Below are 20,591 nucleotides of genomic sequence, written 5' to 3'. Positions count from 1 at the left end.
AAAAAACGAAAAACCCATCCAAACAGAAACTGCTCAAGGATCTGGTAGGGCTCGTACCGATGTTCTCTACTTCAACCTGTGAGCATCAATTTTGTGATGGGGGCTGCCGGGGACGGGGGTCGGGGCGGGGGGGTGGACAATTTTAAAGTGAGAATGAATGGCTTGCGTAAAGGCGATAGTCTTTAACACGGGTTCGTCAGTGTACATCCTCGCCGGTTTTGAAATAAAGTTGACAAACTCCCCAGAAGCGGTCTATTTTGGAGACTGACACATCTCTCGCATTGACTGGAGGCGCCTGCCGACCGAAGGTAGTGGAAGCGCCGAGAGGCAGGCGGCGCCAAGCCTATAAGAAAGCCTTTTCTCCCTCCACCAAGGCCACTGCGGCCGCGGCGCCGGAGCTCTCCGCTGCAGGGGCAGGTGTCGGCGCCAGACCCCCTACTCTCGGAGCTGGCGGAGTTGCCGCCACTGCTTCCCCCGCGGGCCTAGGAGCCGGAAAGTTGCGTGAAGACAACTCCAGGGCCGTGAAGTCGCTTCCCCCCGCAGCCCGGGGACTGCGGCACCTCCAGCCTCCCCTCAGCACCCCCGGAAAAGGACTCGCCTCAACCCGGCCCCAGCGTCTGGGGGCTTGGAGTGCCGGAGCCAACTCCGCCGGGCCGGGAGGACGCTAGGGTCACCAACGGCGGACGAGCAAGGAGGTCGGAGAGGTGCGATGCCCCAGCGTCAGCCGGCAATCCAGGCTGCGAGTTCCCGGCGCCCACCAGCCAGGCCCGCTAGGACCCCAGCGTCCGGACGCCGCAGAGCCCTCACCGCGGCCCGCAGCCCTCCGATTCGCCCCGACCCCTCCCTGGGACGCAACCCGGGCCCCCCAACTCGACCAGTAGCCAGGCCGCGGCCCTGCGCCCCTTCCCGCCTCACCTGCGCTCCGCGGCGACTCCGTGCCTTCTCGCTCGCTTCGCGCGCGCCCCGTCGGGGCACGCACCGAACCCCCGGCCGGGACTCTTCCCCGCTGCGGTGACTCAGGACGCGACGGCCACCGCCGCCTTCTCCTCCTCGGAACAAGCCCCGGCAGCGAGCAGTGGGTCGCGGTCAGAGCCCCTGCCGGGACCAAAGTGAACCTCGCCGCCTCCGCAGCCTCTACCACCAAGTCCCTTCAGTCGTCCGCGCCGCCCCCAAGAAAATGTCACCAGAGGCCGTTCCGCTGGGCGCCTCACTTCCGCCCGGAAACACAGAGCCCGCGTCGGCCGGCTAGAGAGGCAGCTGCGCCGGAGACCTCTGGAGACTGGCGCCCGAGGCCCGAGAAAAGCCAGACAGCGCCATCTGGCGCGATGGAACCCGCGCTCCTCCCGCTGCAGACCGCGGGGCGTGAAGGCGCCGGCTCCCCGGGCTTCTTTCCCGCGCTCCCTCCTTCTGTTGAGACCGTCACCTTCCCGAAATGTCTTTCCCGGGGGGTGGGAAAGCCACTCAATGCAAGCCAAGGACAATGCCTTCAGCAAAGGACAGCGCTCCCTTTTCTGTGCGCTGCTCAGTACTCACCCCCTCCTGAAGCCCTTCCGAAAGCAGCTTGCGGTGTCTGAATCCCAGAGTCGCTCCAGCGGAGAGCCCGTGCCCTTCTCTCCCCGCTTTTTCGCGGATGCCGATAGCTGGGCTCGGGGAGACTCGGCTGAGCTCTTCTCGGGCAGCGGCACCAATATCTGCTCAAGTTTCTGTCCGGGCACCTTGCAGGCCTTGCAGATCGACCGCCACCTGCTGGTGGGACGTGGCCCGCTGGGGAGACCCCGCTCTGCCCCGAATTCCGCCTCTGCAGTCGCCCTCCGATTTGCAGTCAGCCCTGGGGAGGGTGGGGGAAACGAGGTGGACCCGAACCCCGAAGAAGGGGAGGAGGGCGCAGGCCCACTGGCGGGTGGAGCGTTTCCCAAGGAGGAGCAGGAGATGCTGAAGACATATCTCAAGACTCAAGATCTGGCCAAGGACCCGCGCTCCCCCAAAGCAAAGCAGTGTTTTGAGAAGAAAAATAATAATAATAAAGCTTTGAGGAGGAAAATGTAAACGGTCTTTACCTTTACAGAGCTGTGCTGGAACCTCGGATGAGACCCGTCAAGAGGAGATTCTGAAAATCTCACACCACTGGGTCCGCACTCCCCTAAATATCAGTCTCCCCCTTCAGACCAGGCCCCTTAGTTCCCCCACTTCACTCATTTTTTCTGACTGCCTACAGGAGTGCGAGTTTTTCATCCCCAACTACAAGAATAAATTAAGAAAAGAAAATAATTTTATTATACCAGGCACCTTGCATTTAAATGGGTTAAATCCACTGAATCCTCATTACAACTCATAACAACCCTATGAGTTGGATGGCGTTACTAGTCCCAAATTGCAAAGGTGGAAACTGAGGGACAGAGTGACCTGCCCAAGATGACACATCCAAGTAAGTGGCAGTGTTGGATTCCAACACAGGCAGAGCTTACTTTCTTAACCACAGCCACCAACTGCCTCACTGAGAATCACAGAGAACGTAGTGTGTGCTAGCTAAGTAGTTTATCCGTGTATGTTATTTCACTCGTTCATTCATTTATTTACTTTCTGCTACCTGAGTCCTCAAGGGATTTGAGAGGTTATGGGGTAGTGACAAGAGCCCAGCCTATTTCAGGAAAAAAAGAAAAGAAAAGGAAAAATCACACTAAGATCACAACTTTCAGTCTGGAAATGAATGAATGTGGACTAATACATTGAGTTTTTAAAAGATTCCTTGACAGTCTGATCTAATCAATGCTGCAGAAATACTGAAGTAGGACCCTGACTACTGAGATACCATCTTGGGTCCTTCTCCTGTTTTTTGTTTTTTGTTTTTTGCTTTGTGGTTGTTGTTTCTTTGTTTTTTGTTTGGTTGGTTGGTTTTGGTTTTTTGGTTTTTTTCTTGAGACAGAGTCTTGCTCTGTCGCCCAGGCTGGAGTTCAGTGGCGCGATCTTGACTCACTGCAATCTCTGCCCCCCGAGTTCAAGCGATTCTCCTGCCTCAGCCTCCCGAGTAGCTGGGATTACAGGTGCACGCCACCACACCCAGCTAATTTTTTGGTTTTTTAGTAGAGACGGGGTTTCACCATGTTGGCCAGGCTAGTCTCAAACTCCTGACCTCAGGTTATCCACCCACCTCAGCCTCCCAAAGTGCTGGGATTACAGGTGTAAGCCAGCGCACCCAGCCCCTTCTCCTGTTTAATACCAATAAGTCAATTTCCTACGTCGAATGGCCTTTGTATATTTTTGGAGGCTAGGGCATTTGATATCCTAATTACTAATATTTTTATTACTACTATATTTCCATTATTAAATGGTACAGTTACTTGCTTCTTCCCCTTCTTCTGTAGGAGCAGAAGGGATCCTACTTCTGCCTCAAAGTCTTCTGTGTATCCAATACTTAGCTCTACAAGCTCCTGAAATGCCATCTCTCCCATAAAACCAGCTCAGCCCAGACACAACCCCCGTCACCACTACCCTTATTACCCCCTCCATCCTGGCCTTCCACTGTGGGTCAGGACTCCCCTGCTCACACACACTCTCCTACAAACATGTCTGCCCTTGGTCTATCTGTAGGGTTACTACTAAACCATATTCGTCATCCTCTCAACTTCTGTCATAGCCCTAGAGGCCAGAGCCAAGCCTGTCAGAATCACTCTTCACCATCATTTTTTGCACCTGATATACCGCCTAGCCTGGGGCTAAGCCTGCAGCAGGTACCTGCCAGCTGTGGTGGCCTGGACAGTAGCATCAGGGCGTGGCTGGTCTGGCTTTGACTGTAACCTGATCTCTCCTGACTGAGCAGGTTACTTCTACCATTTGCCCTGTAAAATGGACACAATTATGAGAACCACTCTAGAGATGATGAAAGTAGGGGGAGACGAGGGGAGGGAACCCTCATTTCTGGGCTCTGGGCTGCCCCCTCCCTTCCATCTCAGATTGCTAAGAATTGGGCAACCTAAGGCCAGGCGTGGTGGCTCACGCCTGTAATCCTAGCACACTGGGAGGCCAAGGTGGGCGGATCACCTGAGGTCGGGAGTTCAAGACCAGCCTGGCCAACATGGTGAAACTCCATCTCTACTAAAAAAAAAAAATACAGGCCGGGCACGGTGGCTCACGCCTATAATCCCAGCACTTTGGGAGGTTGAGGCGGGCAGATCACCTGAGGTCAGGAATTCAAGACCAACCTGGGCCGGGCGCGGTGGCTCACGCCTGTAATCCCAGCACTTTGGGAGGCCGAGGCGGGTGGATCATGAGGTCAGGAGATCGAGACCATCCTGGCTAACAAGGTGAAACCCCGTCTCTACTAAAAATACAAAAAATTAGCCGGGCACGGTGGCGGGCGCCTGTAGTCCCAGCTACTCGGGAGGCTGAGGCAGGAGAATGGCGTGAACCCGGGAGGCAGAGCTTGCAGTGAGCCGAGATTGCGCCACTGCAGTCCGCAGTCCGGCCTGGGCGACAGAGCGAGACTCCGTCTCAAAAAAAAAAAAAAAAAAAAAAAAAAAAAAAGACCAACCTGGCCAACATGGTGAAACCCCGTCTCTACTAAAAATACAAAAAATTAGCCAGGTGTGGTGGTGCACACCTGTAATCCCAGCTACTCCGGAAGCTGAGACAGGAGAATCACTTGAACCCTGGAGATGGAGGTTGCAGTGAGCCAAGACTGTGCCACTGCACTCTAGCCTGGGTGGCAGAGCGAGACTCTGTCTCAAAAAAAAAAAAAAAAAAAAAGAAAAGGCTGGGCACTGTGGCTCATGCCTGTAATCCCAGCACTTTGGGAAGCCGAGGCGGGCGGGTCATGAGGTCAGGAGTTTGAGACCAGCCTGGCCAACGTGGTGAAACCCCGTCTCTACTAAAAATACAAAAACAAATTATCCAGGCATGGTGGCAGGCACCTGTAGTCCCAGCTACTCAGGAGGCTGAGGCAGAAGAATCACTTGAACCCAGGAGGCGGAGCTTGCAGTGAGCCCAGATCACGCCACTGAACTCCAGCCTGGGCGTCAGAGCGAGACTCTGTCTCAAAAAAAAAATTAGCCGGGTGTTGTGGTGCACTCCTGTAGTCCCAGCTACTCGGGAGGCTGAAGCAGGAGAATCGCTTGAACCTGGGAGGCGGAGGTTGCAGTGAGCTGAAATTGTGCCACTGCACTCCAGCGAGACTCCGACTCAAAAAGAAGAAGGGGCAACCTGGCCTCCCTCAACGTAACCACCCACCCCCACCATAGCCAGCACCCACTAGGATCGCCCAGGACCTGCTAGAAGGCAGTGGCCTCTGGGGAAATGCTGACCTTCTGCACAATAGTAGCCACAGAACCTCAGACAAGTCACCGCTTCCAGGGTTAACATGACTCGCTCTGCCTCACAGCGTCATTCCATAGGATTAAATGGCCTCCTCCAACACAAGGACATCCAGAAGCATTCTAAGGACTCTGAGTAGTGGAAGATCAGACAGTTGTCAGGACCAGGGGCTCTGGGGTTTGACAGATGTGACATTGGACTGAGTTCCACCTCTCTAGCAGAGTGACCCTCAGGCAGTTATGTAACCTCACTGAGCCCCATTGTCCTCGCCTGCCAGACATGGATGACCCCCCAGTACTCCCTTGCAGGCTCTGGAGGAGTGAGGGTAGAATGACTCATGATTTCAGCTCTCAGCTCCATGCTCGGCTCAGACAGAATGCTCTAGAAAGAGGCTGCCGCTCTGATGGCAGCACTCCAGGCCAGCACCTTCTAGGCCACAGACTCTCAGTGGTCAAATACAGTGAAATTTCCATCTCAACAGACTCATTTTTCCAGAGCAGCAGGTTCACGTGGAACCAGAATGGAACAGTGCAGAAGGATACCATGAAAGTGTAGCCAAGGGTGACTGGGAGGGGGCCCCCTTTCCCCCACAAACCTCTAGCTCCCCACCCTGGTTCTCTGGGCTGGCCAATTAAGACTGGTCTGTCTTGGGTAAAGTACTCTGAAACTCAGCTCCAAGTCTCTCTTTCTAACCAGGTGATTCCCCTGAAACTCCATCTATTTAGAAAGTCTGTAAGTTCTGAAAATGGGGGAAAAAAAGTGAAAATAAATGCAAAGGACAGTTTCATTTTTTGTTTGGTTGGTTGTTTTTTGTTGTTGTTGTTGTTGTTGTTTTTTGAGACCGGGTCTCACTCTATCTCCCAGGCTGGAATGCAATGGCACAATCACAGCTCACTGCAGCCTCAACTTCCTGGACTCAAGCAATCCTCCCACTTGAGCCTCCCAAGTAACTGGGACTACAAGCACATGCCACTATCCCCAGCTAATTTTTTAAAAAATTTTGTAGCCGGGCGCGGTGGGTCATGCCTGTAATCCCAGCACTTTGGGAGGCCAAGGCAGGCAGATCACCTGAGGTCGGGAGTTCGAGACCAGCCTGACCAACATGGAGAAACCCCGTCTCTACTAAAAATACAAAATTAGCCGGGTGTGGTGGTGCATCCTTGTAATCCCAGCTACTCGGGAGGCTGAGGCAGGAGAACCGCTTGAACTCAGGAGGCGGAGGTTGTGATGAGCCAAGATATCGAGCCATTGTACTCCAGCCTGGGCAACAAGAGTGATACTCCCTCTAAAAATAATAATAATAATAATAATAATAATAATAATAATAATAATAAAATAAAAATGTTTGTAGAGACAGGGTCTCACTATGTTGCCCAGGCTGGTCTTGAACTCCTGGACTCAAGACATCTTCCCACCTCGGCCTCCCAGTGTTGGGATTACAGGTATGAGCCACCATGCCTGGCCCAAAGGACAGTTTTTAAATTTAACAAGTATGTATAAGCCTCTCATATTTTAATGAAAAGAATTGCCCTGTGTGACATAGTGCCTGACCTTGGGGGACCTCCTGGGTGGAGCAGAGGGTCCTCTGACACCCCATTTAAACTAGCACCCACACTCCCCATTACTGCACCCGTCTTCTTGTTAACACGTGCCCTCATGTGTTCCTGCTTTGCATGCTCTCTTTCGCTTTCATTGGACACACCAGAGGGACGAGCGGCCAGGGGGCGGGGTCCATGCTGTCTGATCGTGCTCAGTGCCTCACGGAGAGACCCCAGACACACTCAGTGCAAGTGTAGTGAATGGAGGAAGTAGACCTAAGATTCCGAAACCTACAAGGATGTCAAAACAAGGAAGTGGTGCCAGGTGCCAAGTGGGTTAGAAGCCAGGAGGAAGGAGGGACCCCTGCAGACAAGGCAGTAGGGGAATGCCTCAGGGAGTGTCTGAAACCTGCCTGCAGGTGGTTAAAAAGGAGGAAGACTCAGTGCCTTGAGGGCAGAGCCAGGTCATCCTTCTTCACTGCCCCCTTGGTGTCCAGCATAGAGCCTGGCAGATGTGACAGCCAAAAAGAGTTTGTGTGTTTGAAAGGACAAGTGTGGAGAGAAGTGACTTTGTGGGAGGGGTGGGTAAGAGGTAGAAAATCCCCTGGGATGCTGGTCGCGGTGGCTCATGCCTGTAATCCCAGCACTTTGGGAGGCCGAGGCGGGCAGATCACGAGGTCCGGAGATCGAGACCATCCTGGCTAACACGGTGAAACCCTGTCTCTACTAAAAATACAAAAAAATTAGCCGGGTGTGGTGGCAGGTGCCTGTAGTCCCAGCTACTCAGGAGGCTGAGGCAGGAGAATGGCGTGAACCTGGGAGGCAGAACGTGCAGTGCGCCGAGATGGCGCCATTGCACTCCAGCCTGGGCGACAGAGCGAGATTCCGTCTCAAAAAGAAAAGAAAAGCCCCTGGGATATTTGGAGGACAACTACCCAAGGGCCAGATGCCTGCAGCTGGACAGCAGAGGAGTGAGTAGAGAGAAGGCTTCAAGGGAAGTTGGGGGATTGAATGAGAGCGTAAGAAGCCTGGGATTTATTTTTTATTTTTATTTTTAATTGTATTTAATTTTATTTTATTTTGAGACAGAGTTTCGCTCGGTCACCTAGGCTAGAGTAGTGCAGTGGCATGATCTCAGCTCCCTGCAACCTCTGCCTCCCGGGTTCAAGTTATTCTCCTCCCTTAAGCCTCCCAAGTAGCTGAAACTACAGGCGCCCACCACCACGTCTAGCTAATTTTTGTATTTTTAGTAGAGACAGGGTTTCACCATGTTGGCCAGGCTGGTCTTAAACTCCTGACTTCAAGTGATCGCCTTCCTTGTCCTCCCAAAGTGTTGGGGTAACAGGCGTGAGCCACCGCGACTGGCTGAGACACTGTTTTGGAAGAAAGGGCTTGGTAAAAGCTTCAAAGCCCTTGTAACATCAGCTTTATAGAGACTGTCTTCACCTTCCTCTCCCCAGCTCCCAAAACTACAGTATTTAAGTAAAGACAAAATTAGGGTATCTGTGGTAGAATAAAAAATACGCATTTGGTCTTTGCCCCAGTTCCTAGCACAAAGCTCTTAAGAGCCTCAGGATCTCCTGAGTAGTAGGAATGTCCTTTGTTATTCAGGACGAGCTCCTTTCAGCCACACCTGAGTCTGGCTCTTGGAGAGTCCCTATATAGCTTCTGGATGAGGGCTGGTCACCACAGGAACCAACCATATGATTAGAGAGAGGGTTGGAACATTCAGCCCCCTCCCCACCCACAACCTCCCAGGATGGAAGAGGGGTTGGAGATTGAGTTCAATCACCAAAGGCCAAGGAAACTTCAGTAAAATCCCCAAAACCACGTGTCAGAGAGTTTCCAGTTGGTGCTGGGAGGATGGCCCACTGGAGAGGGCATGGAAGCTCAAAGCTACCATCTGCCTTTCTTCCTTGCCTAAGGCAAGGAAGGATATTATAAAGGATCCAACTCGGGACCTCCCATTTAGGTTCCTGAATTGAATCCTTTATAATAAGCTGGTATTAGTAAGGAAAGCACTTTCCAGAGTTGTGAGCCCTGCTAGTGAATTATCGAATTTAAGGGGGGAGAGGTCATGGGAACCCCCAAATTCACAATCTGCTAGACGTAAGTATGGGAGCCCAGGCACCTCACTTGTGGCTAGCATCTGAAGTGGGAGCAGCCTTGTGGTACTGGGCCCTTAGCCTGTGGGGTTCGAAATAACTCTGGGTGGTTAGTGTCAGAATTGCGTTAAATTGAACTGAATTGCTTGGATACTCACTTGCTGTCAGAGAATTAGAAAACTGGTACCAGAAAAAAAAAATACAGGATTCTAAAACTTTGACTTCATTCTACTTTTTTTATTTTTATTTTTATTTTTGAGACAGAGTTTCGCCCTTGTTGCCCAGGCTGGAGTGCAATGATGCAATCTCAGCTCACCGCAACCTCTGCCTCCCGGGTTCAAGCGATTCTCCTGCCTCAGCCTCCTGAGTAGCTGGGATTACAGGCATGCACCACAATGCCCGGCTAATTTTTTGTATTTTTATTAGAGATGGGGTTCTCCATGTTGGTCAGGCTGGTCTTGAGCTCCCGACCTCAGGTGATCCACCTGCCTCGGCCTCCCAAAGTGCTAGGATTACAGGCGTGAGCCACCGTGCCTGGCCTATTTATTTTTATTTTTATATTGTTTTTAGAGACAAGGTTTCTCTATGTTACCCAGGCTGGAGTACAATGGCATGATCATAGCTCACTGTAACTTTGGATTCCTGGGCTCAAGCAATCCTCCCACCTTAGCCTCCTAAGTAGCTGGGACTAGGGGCACATACCACCATGGCCAGCTAAATTTTTTTTTTTTTTTTTGTAGAGACAGGGTCTCACTATGTTGTCCAGGCTGGTCTGGAGCTCCTGGCCTCAAGTGATCCTCCTGTTATGGCGGGGGCGGGGGGGGGTCCTTGCTCCCAGAGCTCCCAAGATGACAGTGGGCTGCTTCCAAGATGGCGGCAAGCCTTTTGTTCTCTGACCTGGGGTTCTTGGCCTCACGGATTCCAAGGAATGGAATCTTGGGCCATGCAGTGTTATAGCTCTATTAGAAGCCGTAGGTCATGGAAGAGAACCATGGAACCCAGTGACTAGCGTTCAGCTCGATTAGGACAAACCCGGGCACTTAGCTGTGCAGGAACAATGGCAAGCCTCCAGCCTGATTGGGAGTGGCAATGGGCGCCTCGCTGGATCAGGAGCACAGAGGACACCCTGCCGGATCCAAGGGATGGAAGTCAGCGGCGGGTCTGCAGCAGCGGCAAACAGCAGTGGTGGACGGCGAGCCAAAGCTCAGCTCCAGCCGTAACAAACATGGACCAGAAGAGAGTGCAGTTGCAAGATTTAAGAGTGAAAACAGAGCTTCCATACAAGGGAGGGCACCCAAAGAGGGTAGCAGTTGCCAACTGGAATGCCTGGGTTTATATCCCGATCATTATCCCTCCAACTGTGCTCTCAGGCAATAGATGATTGGCTATTTCTTTACCTCCTGTTTTTACCTAATTAGCATTTTAGTGAGCTCTCTTTACTATCTGATTGGTCGGGTGTGAGCTAAGTTGCAAGCCCCGTGTCTAAAGGTGGAAGCGGTCACCTCCCCAGCTAGGCTTAGGGATTCTTAGTCAGCCTAGGAAATCCAGCTAGTCCTGTCTCTCACTCCTGACTTGGCCTCCCAAAGAGCTGGGATTATAGGCATGAGCCACTGTGGCTGGCCTGACTTTAAACAAATATGTTATATGTGGTTTGAACTGGATATGTTATATTAAGCAAGACCAGTCATAGGGCAAATCTCTTATGAGGATTCCTTGCCTTCCTTCTGTGTGACCCTCTCTACCTTTTATTTAGGTGGCAGTCAAAGCGGCCATTCCCCCAGACACCAGAAGGTGAGTTGGTTTCATGCTCTGCCTCTCCCAGGGGTCTTGAATTATAAAGGAGTGCCTCTGAGGTGGAATCCATGGGAATTCATCTTTCCTGGTGACATTTCAGGTAAAGTAGTGGGTGGGGAAAATATTACCAGGTGGGGACCATCCCAACATTCCTTGTATGCACACATGATTACGTGGCCGTCTTCTCTAGGTGGGTATTAAGAGAGCCAAATGATGCGTGTTGTTCGATTTTATTCTAAAGGTATTCGTTGGAAGCCTGCCCACTAACCACAAGGCACATTGTTAGGCTCTTGTCATATAATCCTCATGACAATGAGCAGGACAGGTAGGTTTTACAGAGGAGGAAACTTAGGCTCAGAGAAGACAATTCACCTAAGCAAGTCACATGGGCTAAAGGTCAGGGAGGGAGTCAGGATTCCTGGAAGAGAACATGGTCACCTCCCTCAAGATTACTGCTGTCTGTCTAAGAACAGGGCTCAACCTAGAAACACATCACAATAGCAGAGGGGGTCGATGCAGAATAGGGACATGTCGCATGGAGAAATTAATTCCCAAGAGCACCAAGGACTTCTTGGAAGAGGAAGCTTTTGACTAGGGCCTTGGAGAAAGAGCAAAGCTTCCACGGATAGAGATGAAGAGAAAGGTATCCTGGGCAAAGTCTGGCATAAGGGAAGGCTGGTATCAGGAAAGTGCAGGGCACAGCCAGACTCCAAAACAGGTGTGTCTCTCATACAAATGATACATAAGGGTCATGTGTTGGGCCCTTATCCCCTCCCCTCCAATTTTGTTTTTGTGTTTTTGCTTATTCATGCCAAGAATGTACATTTATATAGAGCTTAACTTGAACCCTCTTATAAGGAGGATTTCATTAGCTCCTCTAAACAGCCATGAAAGGTAGTTAGGTTAGGTGGGTATTGCTACCATTTTGCAGAGATTATACAACTGACACCAAAAGATTTCAAATAAATGCCTATTGAATGAGTGAATGAATGAATGAATGAATGACTTGCCCAAGGCCACAAGCACTAAATGGGAGAATAGGGACTAAACCTCATTTTGCTCCTCCAAATCCCAAACTCTTTTCACTACTGTACATATCTGGGGGACTTAGCAGTGCCATCGTGTCTGTGTATTGGGGGTGGGGAATTAGACTCATTATTGTGTTTTATAATGTGCTGATCATCTGAAAAAACTCCGGGCAGGAGAACAATACAAGCATTCATTAAAGTACTTCAATAGACTGACAGCAGCAACAATAACCTAAAATTAAATGAAGCAGAGTATCTCATGTGAGTCTTCTCTTGAGGAGTCCGGTGCAAAGGCACCAGGCCATGGGGAAATAGAATGGGACTCCCTAGGAGAAAGACAAATAAGAGATTTACAGAATCTGGTTGGAGGTAGGGGACAGCAGGCTAGGAGGGCCCCCACCAGCCAGGCGACAAACCACCAGGACCACAGGTCTCTGGGCAGCTTTCAAAAGCTCCACAATTCATGATAGCTATAATTTACTGGTAACCACCAGTAAGCACCAGCCTAGAAGCAACCTCAGAGATCACTATCGTATTTTAAAGAGTCCCATCTGGGCGCGGTGGCTCACACCTGTAATCCCAGCACTTTGGGAGGCTGAGGCAGGCAGATCACGAGGTCAGGAGATCGAGACCATCCTGGCCAACACAGTGAAACCCTATCTCTACTAAAAATACAAAAAATTAGCTGGGCCTGGTGGCAGGCGCCTGTAATCCCAGCTACTCAGGAGGCTGAGGCAGGAGAATGGCGTGAACCTGGGAGGCGGAGCTTGTAGTGAGCCAAGATCATGCCATTGCACTCCAGCCTGGGCGACAGAGTGAGACTCCGTCTCAAAATAAATAAATAAATAAATAAAGTAAAAAAAAAAGAGTCTCAACATAATGGCATCTTTGTACTAACTTCACTTTTTGGAGAAATGTGTCCTTAAAGTGCATAGTACAGCTGTTCTAGCTTTTTAATTCTGCTGGTGGTTTCTTTCATTAGTTCTTCGAGTCACCAGAAGGGCAGAAGGCCAGCTCTGCAGGGAGGCTTACCTAAATCCATCCCTGGGATATCAGGGAGGCCTCACAGAGTGAGGCCAGGCCCACCACAAGTCCAGGATGCCTGTAAAGCTGGAGGGTGAGCTGCAAATCTGGCCCTATCCCTTTAACCCAAGAGAGCACACACCCATGCACTTTGAGTCAGACTGAGGGGTATATAAGGTGCATACGGCCAGTCTCTGCCTGCAGACAACTAAGACTGTCAGAGGTGTTTGAACCAGAGCGACTCCATCTTGAATAAGGGCAGAGTAAAATAAGGGTGAGAGCTACTGGCTGCATTCCCAGGAAGTTAGGCATTGTAAGTCACAGGATGAGATAGGAGGCCGCCACAAGATACGGGTCACAAAGATCTTACTGATAAAACAGCATGCGGTAAAGAAGCTGACCAAATCCCACCAAACCAAGATGGTGACAGAAGTAACCTCTGGTTGTCCTCACTGCTCATTATAAGCTAATTATAATACATTAGCATGCTAAGAGACACTCCCACCAGTGCCACAACAGTTTACAAATGCCATGGCAACATCAGGAAGTTACCCTATATGGTCTAAAAAGGGAGGAACCCTCAGTTCCAGGAGAATTACCCATCCTTTTCCAGGAAAACTCATGAATAATCCATCCCTTGTTTAGCATATAATGAAGAAATAACCATAAAATAGCCAACCAGCAGCCCTCGGGGCTGCTCTGCCTATAGAGTAGCCATTGTTTTATTCCTTTCCTTTTTTTTTTTTTTTTTTTGAGACGGAGTCTTGCTCTGTTGCCCAGGCTGTATGGCACAATTTCGGCTCACTGCAAGCTCCACCTCCCGGGTTCACGCCATTCTCCTGCCTCAGCCTCCCAAGTAGCTGGGACTACAGGTACCCACCACCATGCCTGGCTAATTTTTTTGTATTTTTAGTAGAGACGGGGTTTCACCACGTTAGCTACGATGGTCTCCATCTCCTGACTTCATGATCTGCCTGACTTGGCCTCCCAGAGTGCTGGGATTACAGGTGTGAGCCACTGCACCCGGCCTTTTTTTTTTTTTTTTTTTTTTTGAGATAAAGCTTCACTCTTATTGCTCAGGCTGGAGTGCAATGGTGCAATCTTGGCTCACTACAACCTCCACCTCCCAGGTTCAAGTGATTCTCCTGCCTCAGCCTCCCGAGTAGCTAGGACTAGAGGTGCCCACCATCACACCTGGCTAATATTTTGTATTTTTAGTAGAGACAGGTTTCGCCATGTTGGCCAGGCTGGTCTCAAACTCCTAACCTCAGGTGATCCACCCACCTCAGCCTCCCACAGTGCTGAGATTACAGGTGTGAGCCACCACACCCGGTCTGTTCCTTTACTTTCTTAATAAACGTGCTTTCATTTTACTGTATGGATTCACCTGGAGTTCTTTCTTGCGCAAGATCCAAGAACCCTCTCTTTGGGTTTGGATTGAGACCCCTTTCCGGTAACAAGACCTGTTAGTGAAATGATCAGAGGCCAAGCAAGGTGGCTCACACCTGTAATCCTAGCACTTTGGGAGGCTGAGGTGGAAGGATTGCTTGAGCCCAGGAGTTCAAGACCAGTCTGGGCAACATAGGGAGACACTGTCATCTCTACAAAAAAAATTAGCTGGGCATGATGGTGTGTGCCTGTAGTCCCAACTATTCTGGAGACTGAGGTGTGAGGATCACTTGGGCCTGGAATGTTGGGGCTGCAGTGAGCCATGATCTCACCATTGTGCTAAGCCTAGGTAACACAGTAAGACCCTGTTTCAAAAAAAGAAAAAAGAAACAAACAGCAGTTTCCTGAATGAGTTGCCTTCACTACAGGAAGCCTTACCTAAGCAAATATATGAACCCAAAGTTTGTCTTTGGTGTGTCCTTCCCTGCTATGCTCATGACCTCTTAAACCCAGCCAGTGCCTTCTCTCATCATTCAAGGCCCCAGGACCTTAGCCCTCTTTGCCCCTCCTCACTTCCAATAACCAAACCTTCCTGGCCTAGGACTCAATCTCTAAGGCTTCCATACTCCATGTCTTAACAACGATTAATTACAGAAACTAATTCTTACTAGAGTGGTAGCTGGCTAATATACTGCCCTTCCCAGGTGACAAAATACTCTGTCTGTCTAAAACAAACACTTCTCTAGAGGCAGTCAAGGAGTGGCATACAGGGTAGGAATTTCAAAGAGTAAGGCAGCTCAGCTCGGGAGAGGGAGATCTTTTTGTTGAGTCACATTTTTTGTTTTGTTTTGTTTTGTTTTGTTTTTGTTTAAGATGGTCTCACTCTGTTGCCCAGGCTGGAGTGCAGTGGCGATCACAGCTAACCACAGTCTCGACTTCCCAAGCCAGGTTTTTTGTTTTGTTTTTTCCTCACTGCAACCTCTGCCTCCCAGGCTCAAGGAATTCTCCTGTCTCAGCCTCCCTAGTAGCTGGGACTACAGGCACACACCATCATGCCCGACTAACTTTTGTAATTTTAGTAAAGACGGGATTTCACCATATTGGTCAGGCTGGTCTCAAACTCCTGACCTCAGATGACCCACCCGCCTCGGCCTCCCAAAGTGCTGGGATTACAGGTGTCAGCCACCGTACCTGGCCCCCAAGCCAGGTTTTATAGAATCCTCAAATTATAACATTCTGGTGGCCTAAGAAAGCCAGTCTAACACACACACACACTCGTGGATTCTTACTGATTCACAAATCCAACTATTTTCTAGTCCTGGTGTACCAGGAACCAGGAAAACACAAAGCTCCAGAATTTATTTATTATTATTATTATTTTTTAATTTAAAAAAAATTTTTGAGTCTTACTATGTCACCCAGGCTGGAATGCAGTGATGCAATCTCAGCTCACTGCAACTTCCGCCTCCTGGGTACAAGTGATTCTCCTGCCTCAGCCTCCTGAGGAGCTGGGACTATAGACATGCACCACCATGCCCTGCTAATTTAACTCTAGAATTTATAATACAAAAAGACAAGAATAACTTAAAGGAAAAGAACAATAAGAAGACAATTGAGCTGGGTGCAGTGGTCCATACCTATTAGCTACTCTGGAGGCTGAGGCAGGAGGATCACTTGAGACCAGGAGTTCGAGGCTGCAGTGAGCTATGATTGCTCCACTGCACTCTAGTTCTGGATGACAGAGCAAGACATCTTCTCTAAAACATAAACATAAAAAAATTAAATTTTAAAAAAGAGGACCATTGAGAGCTAAAGCTAAATCTGTGCATTGATATTATTAGAGCTATATTAATTCACAAAGGGAAAAGATCATTGTGGAAATGAGCCCACAATGGACTCATAGTGTGGAAAGAGTCCCACACTATTGTGGGATAAGACTGGGTCTAAAGTGTAGATAGAATACAAGTATGGAATGTTCCAGGCCTTTACAAAGGGTACTGAAAAGGTTCCCCTGGAACCCTTTTCTTACTTTTCCAAAGATTTCCACTTAATTTCAGAAGCTCCTAGAATCCATCTCCTCAAATCCATCCAATCCTGGGGGCTATATTGATGGCGGGGAGCAACCTTAACCCTAACTTGGGGGGCCACTGCCACAAGAACTGTAGGAAACTTGTTTCCATTCTAGCAGGTCATGACCCTTTTATAATCCTGTTCCTTCAGCCTGCCCTTTGGGAGAGGTGTGTTCTCAGCTAGAAACTCTAAATTGGTATTGTTGAACTGGAAGAGTCAGGAATGCTCAGGAGACAGCTTATCATCATGGGAGGCCCAAAAGAGATTGCCCCAGGCTACAAGGGGGTGGGAATGTACAGTTACTGCCAGGGCCACTCATTCCTGCCAGTGGGCCTGCCAGAGTCTTGTAGCAGCAAGAACTCTGTACATTTCAGGGCTTATTCTCACCCTAGCCAGTTCTAGGAGTTCGGCAGAGGCCCCGGCTGCTGAAGGGCTGCCTCTGCCCTGCTCACGTCTCTCCCTGAAACAAGGACTGTTTATGGTTGCTTTGTCTTCTCCTCAGTTGTCCTCCTGAGACTGCCCCCAGAAGGCTGACAAGAATTGTATGCTGGGTTCTGGACAGAAATATAGTTGTAATTAAACACTAATCAGGCTGCACTCTGCCCACTTTCTTGTTGCTAAAAGTCACTAGTTCCTGACCATTTGCATTGCCTTTTTGCCTACAGGTAGGATCTCTGACATTAGGGTCATAAGACTAATAATTGATTTGCATCCCCATGGTTCCTGGCTAGAGTGCAGTGGCGCCACCTGATCTCAGCTCACTGCAACCTCCGCCTCCTGGGTTCAAGCGATTCTCCTGCCTCAGCCTCCTGAGTAGCTGGCGTTACAGGCAAGCACCACCACACCGAGCTAATTTTTTGTATTTTTAGTAGAAACAGGTTTTCATCATGATGGCCAAGCTGGTTTCGAACTCCTGACCTCAAGTGATCCGCCCGCCTCGGCCTCCCAAAGTGCTGGGATTACAGGCGTGAGCCACTGCACCCGACCTAAAAGGTTTTTTCAGACCCCCCAATTCCAGCACCCAGTCTGAAGATCCCCACAGAGGAACGGGATCCCCGTGAGAATACAGCTTATTCCTCTCCCTGTCCCAGGACTTCAGCCTGCAGTCTTCCACCAATCAATGATCTCCGCACTTCTGCCCACTCCAAAACCCTTAAGAACCCTAACCCCAAATTCCTTGGAGAGATGGAGATGAGGTTTTCTCCCATCTCCTCATTCAGTGACACTACAGTTAAACCTCTTTCTCTGCTTCAACCCGGTGTCTCGGCATATTGACTTGCTGTGTGCATCGGGCAAGCAGATGATGATGGCTCCACTAACCTCGTTTTTCCCTCTAATCTCCATTTTGTGCTGCAGCTTCTTCCTCACCCTTCTCTTTTGTATGGTGCCCCAGCTCACACCTTGGTCCACATTTACCCTCCAGTCATTGTTGCAGTTGCCTGTAGGTATCACCTGCCCCGGGGTTTCCCTCCTGGGACACTCTGGATTGCATGTGGACAAACCTAGAAGACAGAAGGAGTTAACATCCTATGGGGCAACCTTGACCCGAGGGGGCCAGAACTGGTGGATAAACATCCTCTATTATTTCCCTCAGACGAACAATTTTGAAGCTCGTTCTTTGGTTCTCTTTAGGGGCAAACAGGTGGACCACGCCCAGGCGGCCTCCCTGGAGATGAGCTTGATAAGGCAGCACACATTGGAATGGCTCTCCCTCCTTCCTTGGGTCACTCTCTCCAGTTCCTCACTCCTGTTCTGGGGTAATTCCCAAAATTAATGACCTGTGTGCAAGCTCTTGTCTGAGACTCTGCTTCTGTGGGAAACCCCAGCTGAGAGCTCTCCTTTCTCCCCAGGCCCCACTCTGTTTTTCCTTCTCTGTGCTGCTGTTTTTCTCCTCAAGTTCTGTTCTCCTCAGTCAGCCTTGGAGACACTGTGTTCCCAGGCAGGCTGCACATGACGAGGTGGGAGAGTACACCTCCACTTGGCTCACTGGAAACCAAGGGAACCAAGGTCAAGGAGGGCAGCAAGCACAAGAGAGGGACTACAGAGGGGAGGGGATGCTTCCAGCCCTGAGAAGTCTTCTTTGGAATAGAAGTGACTGGTCTAGCCTGAGAGAGAGTACGGCCTGATGTTCTTCCTGGATACCCTGCGCTCCTTGGATGTAGGCCTGGTGCTGGTTGGTGGCATGATCTGCAGGTCTCGGAGGATCCTTCCTGTCCTGCTCAGCTCACCTGGGCTTTCTCTGTGTGGGGCTTCTTCTCCAGCCTCCAAGTATACAACTTGACCTTGAGCAGCCCTCTGTTCTCCATCCTCACTGAAGACACAGCAGAAGGACTTTATTTACATTTAGTCTGTGGCAGGAAGGACCCATCCACTGAAGGGGTTCCCCCTCTGTGTCAGGCTTTGCTCAGGCTGTTGTAAGAACCTGTCACCATCTAGTCTCAGGAATGGTAAAACACTCCCCAGGCCAGGTGTGGTGGCTCATGCCTGTAATCCTAGCACTTTGGGAGGCCAAGGCCAGCCAGTTTACTTGAGGTCAGGAGTCCAAGACCAGCCTAGCCAATATGGTGAAATGCTTTTTCTACTAAAAATAAAAAAAAACAAAATTAGCAGGAAATCGCTTGAACCCAGGAAGCAGAGTTGCAGTGAGCCAAGATCGCACAACTGCACTGCAGCCTGGGCAACAGAGCAAGACTCTGTCTCAGAACAAAACAAAACAAAACACACTCCCCAAACGGTCACATTCCAAGCAACAGGTAAGGGAACAATAGAGTAAATTCTGGACTGATTCAAGCCTTGACAAAATTTCTAGGGTGGAAGAGTGAGAAGGAGAGCAACATTTCATGAAAAAACAAGGTCAGAATTTATTTGCAGTGAATAATACTCTAGCCCTCCAACTCAAGTATGCAAGAAACATCACTTTCTTCATTTCCTAGAAATCAATTTGATTTCTACTTTAAGGCCCCCACCTGGCAGGAGAATTCATACCAGTCATTGCTGAGGTTTCATTTGCCTTCCCCACCCAGGAAACCCCAGACACAATAGTTCTAAGAAGACATAGATGTGGCCAGAGGAACTTCCAGGTACAGCACTCAACCTAGTCTGCTCTATTGGGTAAGACGGGCATGAGGTCGCCTCCCATTAGGACTAGTGATAGCATAATAGAATAGAGTCCTAGAAACTGAGACAAGGAAGCTGCAAACTCAGCCTGAGCTCCTTGAGAAGGATTGACTCACTGAGGGGGAGAACTCTGAGCCATGACTCTAAGAATGACAAGAATTTTGCCTCATAGAGAAGAGGAAAAGCATTCTGGAAAGATGTCACAGTGGAATGAAAGGACTAGGTCATTTTGGGAATGAGTGCCCAGAGGCTGATACTCATTTGGATGTGGAGAAGGCAAGGGTAAGGGAGGAATTTAGAAAAAAGAAAAAAATCTCCTTTGAGACAAGCCTGGCCAACATGGTGAAACCCTGTCTCCACTAAAAATACAAAAATTAGCCGGGTGTGGTGGCACACTCCTGTAATCCCAGCACTTTGGGAGGCCAAGGCAGGTGGATCACTTGAGGTCAGGAGTTCGAGACCAACCTGGCCAACATTGCAAAACCCCATCCGTACTAAAAATACTAAAAATTAGCTGGGCATGGTGGCGGGCACCTGTAATCCCAGATACTCGGGAGGCTGAAGTGGGAGAATCGCTTGAATCTGGGAGGTGGAGGCTGCAGTGAGCCCAGATCATATAGCTGCACTCCAGTGTGGATGACGGAGTGAGACCCTGTCTCGAAAAAAGAAAAAAAGAACAAAATCCCAAGGAAGACTTATAACGTGGACTGTGATTTTTTTTTTTTCTCTTGCTAGGGTTGGGGCCTGTGTAATAAATAACCCTTTCTCTTTCTCTCCTCAAGTTTGGAAGCAACTAAAAAATAAGATGCAGGAAACAGGCGAACACTTAAATGTCAACTTTATGGCAGATCAAAGCTGGATTGGGGGACACGGTGCAAATGAGCAGCCTCCATGAACTTCCTATCCCATTCCTGTCACAGCAAATGTAGACAGACTATTCAACCAGTCACAGGAGCGCTGCCCTGTCTGAGCAGCCCAGAATCTACTCTCAGGCAAGTCCTAAAGAGAATACCTGGTGAGGCTTCCCACCTCAACTTCTCCCTTGAAATCTTCACACCAGAAGGTGATCTGGTTTCATGCTCTACCTCCCACCATGGTCTTGAAATATAAAGGAGGGCAGCTGACATGAGATCCATGGGGATTAATATTTCCTGGTGACATTTCAGGTAAAATATTGGGTGGAGAAAATATTACCGGATGGGAACCATTCTTCTTGCCGG

General features: G+C 49.7%; 1 protein-coding gene across 4 annotated transcripts in view, besides 8 other annotated features; it reads right to left on the bottom strand.

Moving 5' to 3' along the window:
• Nucleotides 1–1,693, bottom strand: part of ARK2N (arkadia (RNF111) N-terminal like PKA signaling regulator 2N) — a 93,440-nt gene extending 91,747 nt beyond the window's left edge. For 2 of the 4 annotated variants that reach the window (XM_011525822.3, XM_017025555.2), the window contains exon 1: nt 1,534–1,693. The gene's annotated coding sequence lies outside the window, so the exon portion shown is untranslated. Of the gene's footprint in view, nt 1–915; nt 1,213–1,533 lie in introns of those variants that run through there. The other 2 variants (NM_145055.5, NM_001008239.3) reach the window with 1 other exon arrangement.
• Nucleotides 199–328: an enhancer, noted in NCBI's record as "active region_13275". NCBI's record gives its function as "activates an Ori minimal core promoter by ATAC-STARR-seq in GM12878 lymphoblastoid cells {active_cell/tissue: GM12878}" and the evidence as "EXISTENCE:reporter gene assay evidence [ECO:0000049][PMID:35858748]".
• Nucleotides 929–978: an enhancer, noted in NCBI's record as "active region_13274". NCBI's record gives its function as "activates an Ori minimal core promoter by ATAC-STARR-seq in GM12878 lymphoblastoid cells {active_cell/tissue: GM12878}" and the evidence as "EXISTENCE:reporter gene assay evidence [ECO:0000049][PMID:35858748]".
• Nucleotides 1,009–1,268: an enhancer, noted in NCBI's record as "active region_13273". NCBI's record gives its function as "activates an Ori minimal core promoter by ATAC-STARR-seq in GM12878 lymphoblastoid cells {active_cell/tissue: GM12878}" and the evidence as "EXISTENCE:reporter gene assay evidence [ECO:0000049][PMID:35858748]".
• Nucleotides 1,589–1,638: an enhancer, noted in NCBI's record as "active region_13272". NCBI's record gives its function as "activates an Ori minimal core promoter by ATAC-STARR-seq in GM12878 lymphoblastoid cells {active_cell/tissue: GM12878}" and the evidence as "EXISTENCE:reporter gene assay evidence [ECO:0000049][PMID:35858748]".
• Nucleotides 7,078–7,939: an enhancer, noted in NCBI's record as "H3K27ac-H3K4me1 hESC enhancer chr18:43747273-43748134 (GRCh37/hg19 assembly coordinates)". NCBI's record gives its function as "activates a minimal SCP1, AML or CMV promoter by ChIP-STARR-seq in naive H9 embryonic stem cells {active_cell/tissue: H9 hESC(naive)}" and the evidence as "EXISTENCE:reporter gene assay evidence [ECO:0000049][PMID:30033119]".
• Nucleotides 9,590–10,089: an enhancer, noted in NCBI's record as "H3K4me1 hESC enhancer chr18:43745123-43745622 (GRCh37/hg19 assembly coordinates)". NCBI's record gives its function as "activates a minimal SCP1, AML or CMV promoter by ChIP-STARR-seq in primed H9 embryonic stem cells {active_cell/tissue: H9 hESC(primed)}" and the evidence as "EXISTENCE:reporter gene assay evidence [ECO:0000049][PMID:30033119]".
• Nucleotides 10,090–10,591: an enhancer, noted in NCBI's record as "H3K4me1 hESC enhancer chr18:43744621-43745122 (GRCh37/hg19 assembly coordinates)". NCBI's record gives its function as "activates a minimal SCP1, AML or CMV promoter by ChIP-STARR-seq in primed H9 embryonic stem cells {active_cell/tissue: H9 hESC(primed)}" and the evidence as "EXISTENCE:reporter gene assay evidence [ECO:0000049][PMID:30033119]".
• Nucleotides 19,155–19,361: a silencer, noted in NCBI's record as "fragment chr18:43735851-43736057 (GRCh37/hg19 assembly coordinates)". NCBI's record gives its function as "represses an EF-1alpha promoter that drives an FKBP-Casp9 reporter gene in an ReSE screen in K562 erythroleukemia cells {active_cell/tissue: K562}" and the evidence as "EXISTENCE:reporter gene assay evidence [ECO:0000049][PMID:32094911]".

The sequence above is a fragment of the Homo sapiens genome, chromosome 18 (assembly GCF_000001405.40).
Source record: "Homo sapiens chromosome 18, GRCh38.p14 Primary Assembly".
Lineage (NCBI taxonomy): Eukaryota > Metazoa > Chordata > Mammalia > Primates > Hominidae > Homo > Homo sapiens.
The sequence above is the reverse complement of the archived record's forward strand: the minus strand, read 5'-3'. Positions and strand labels throughout refer to the sequence as shown.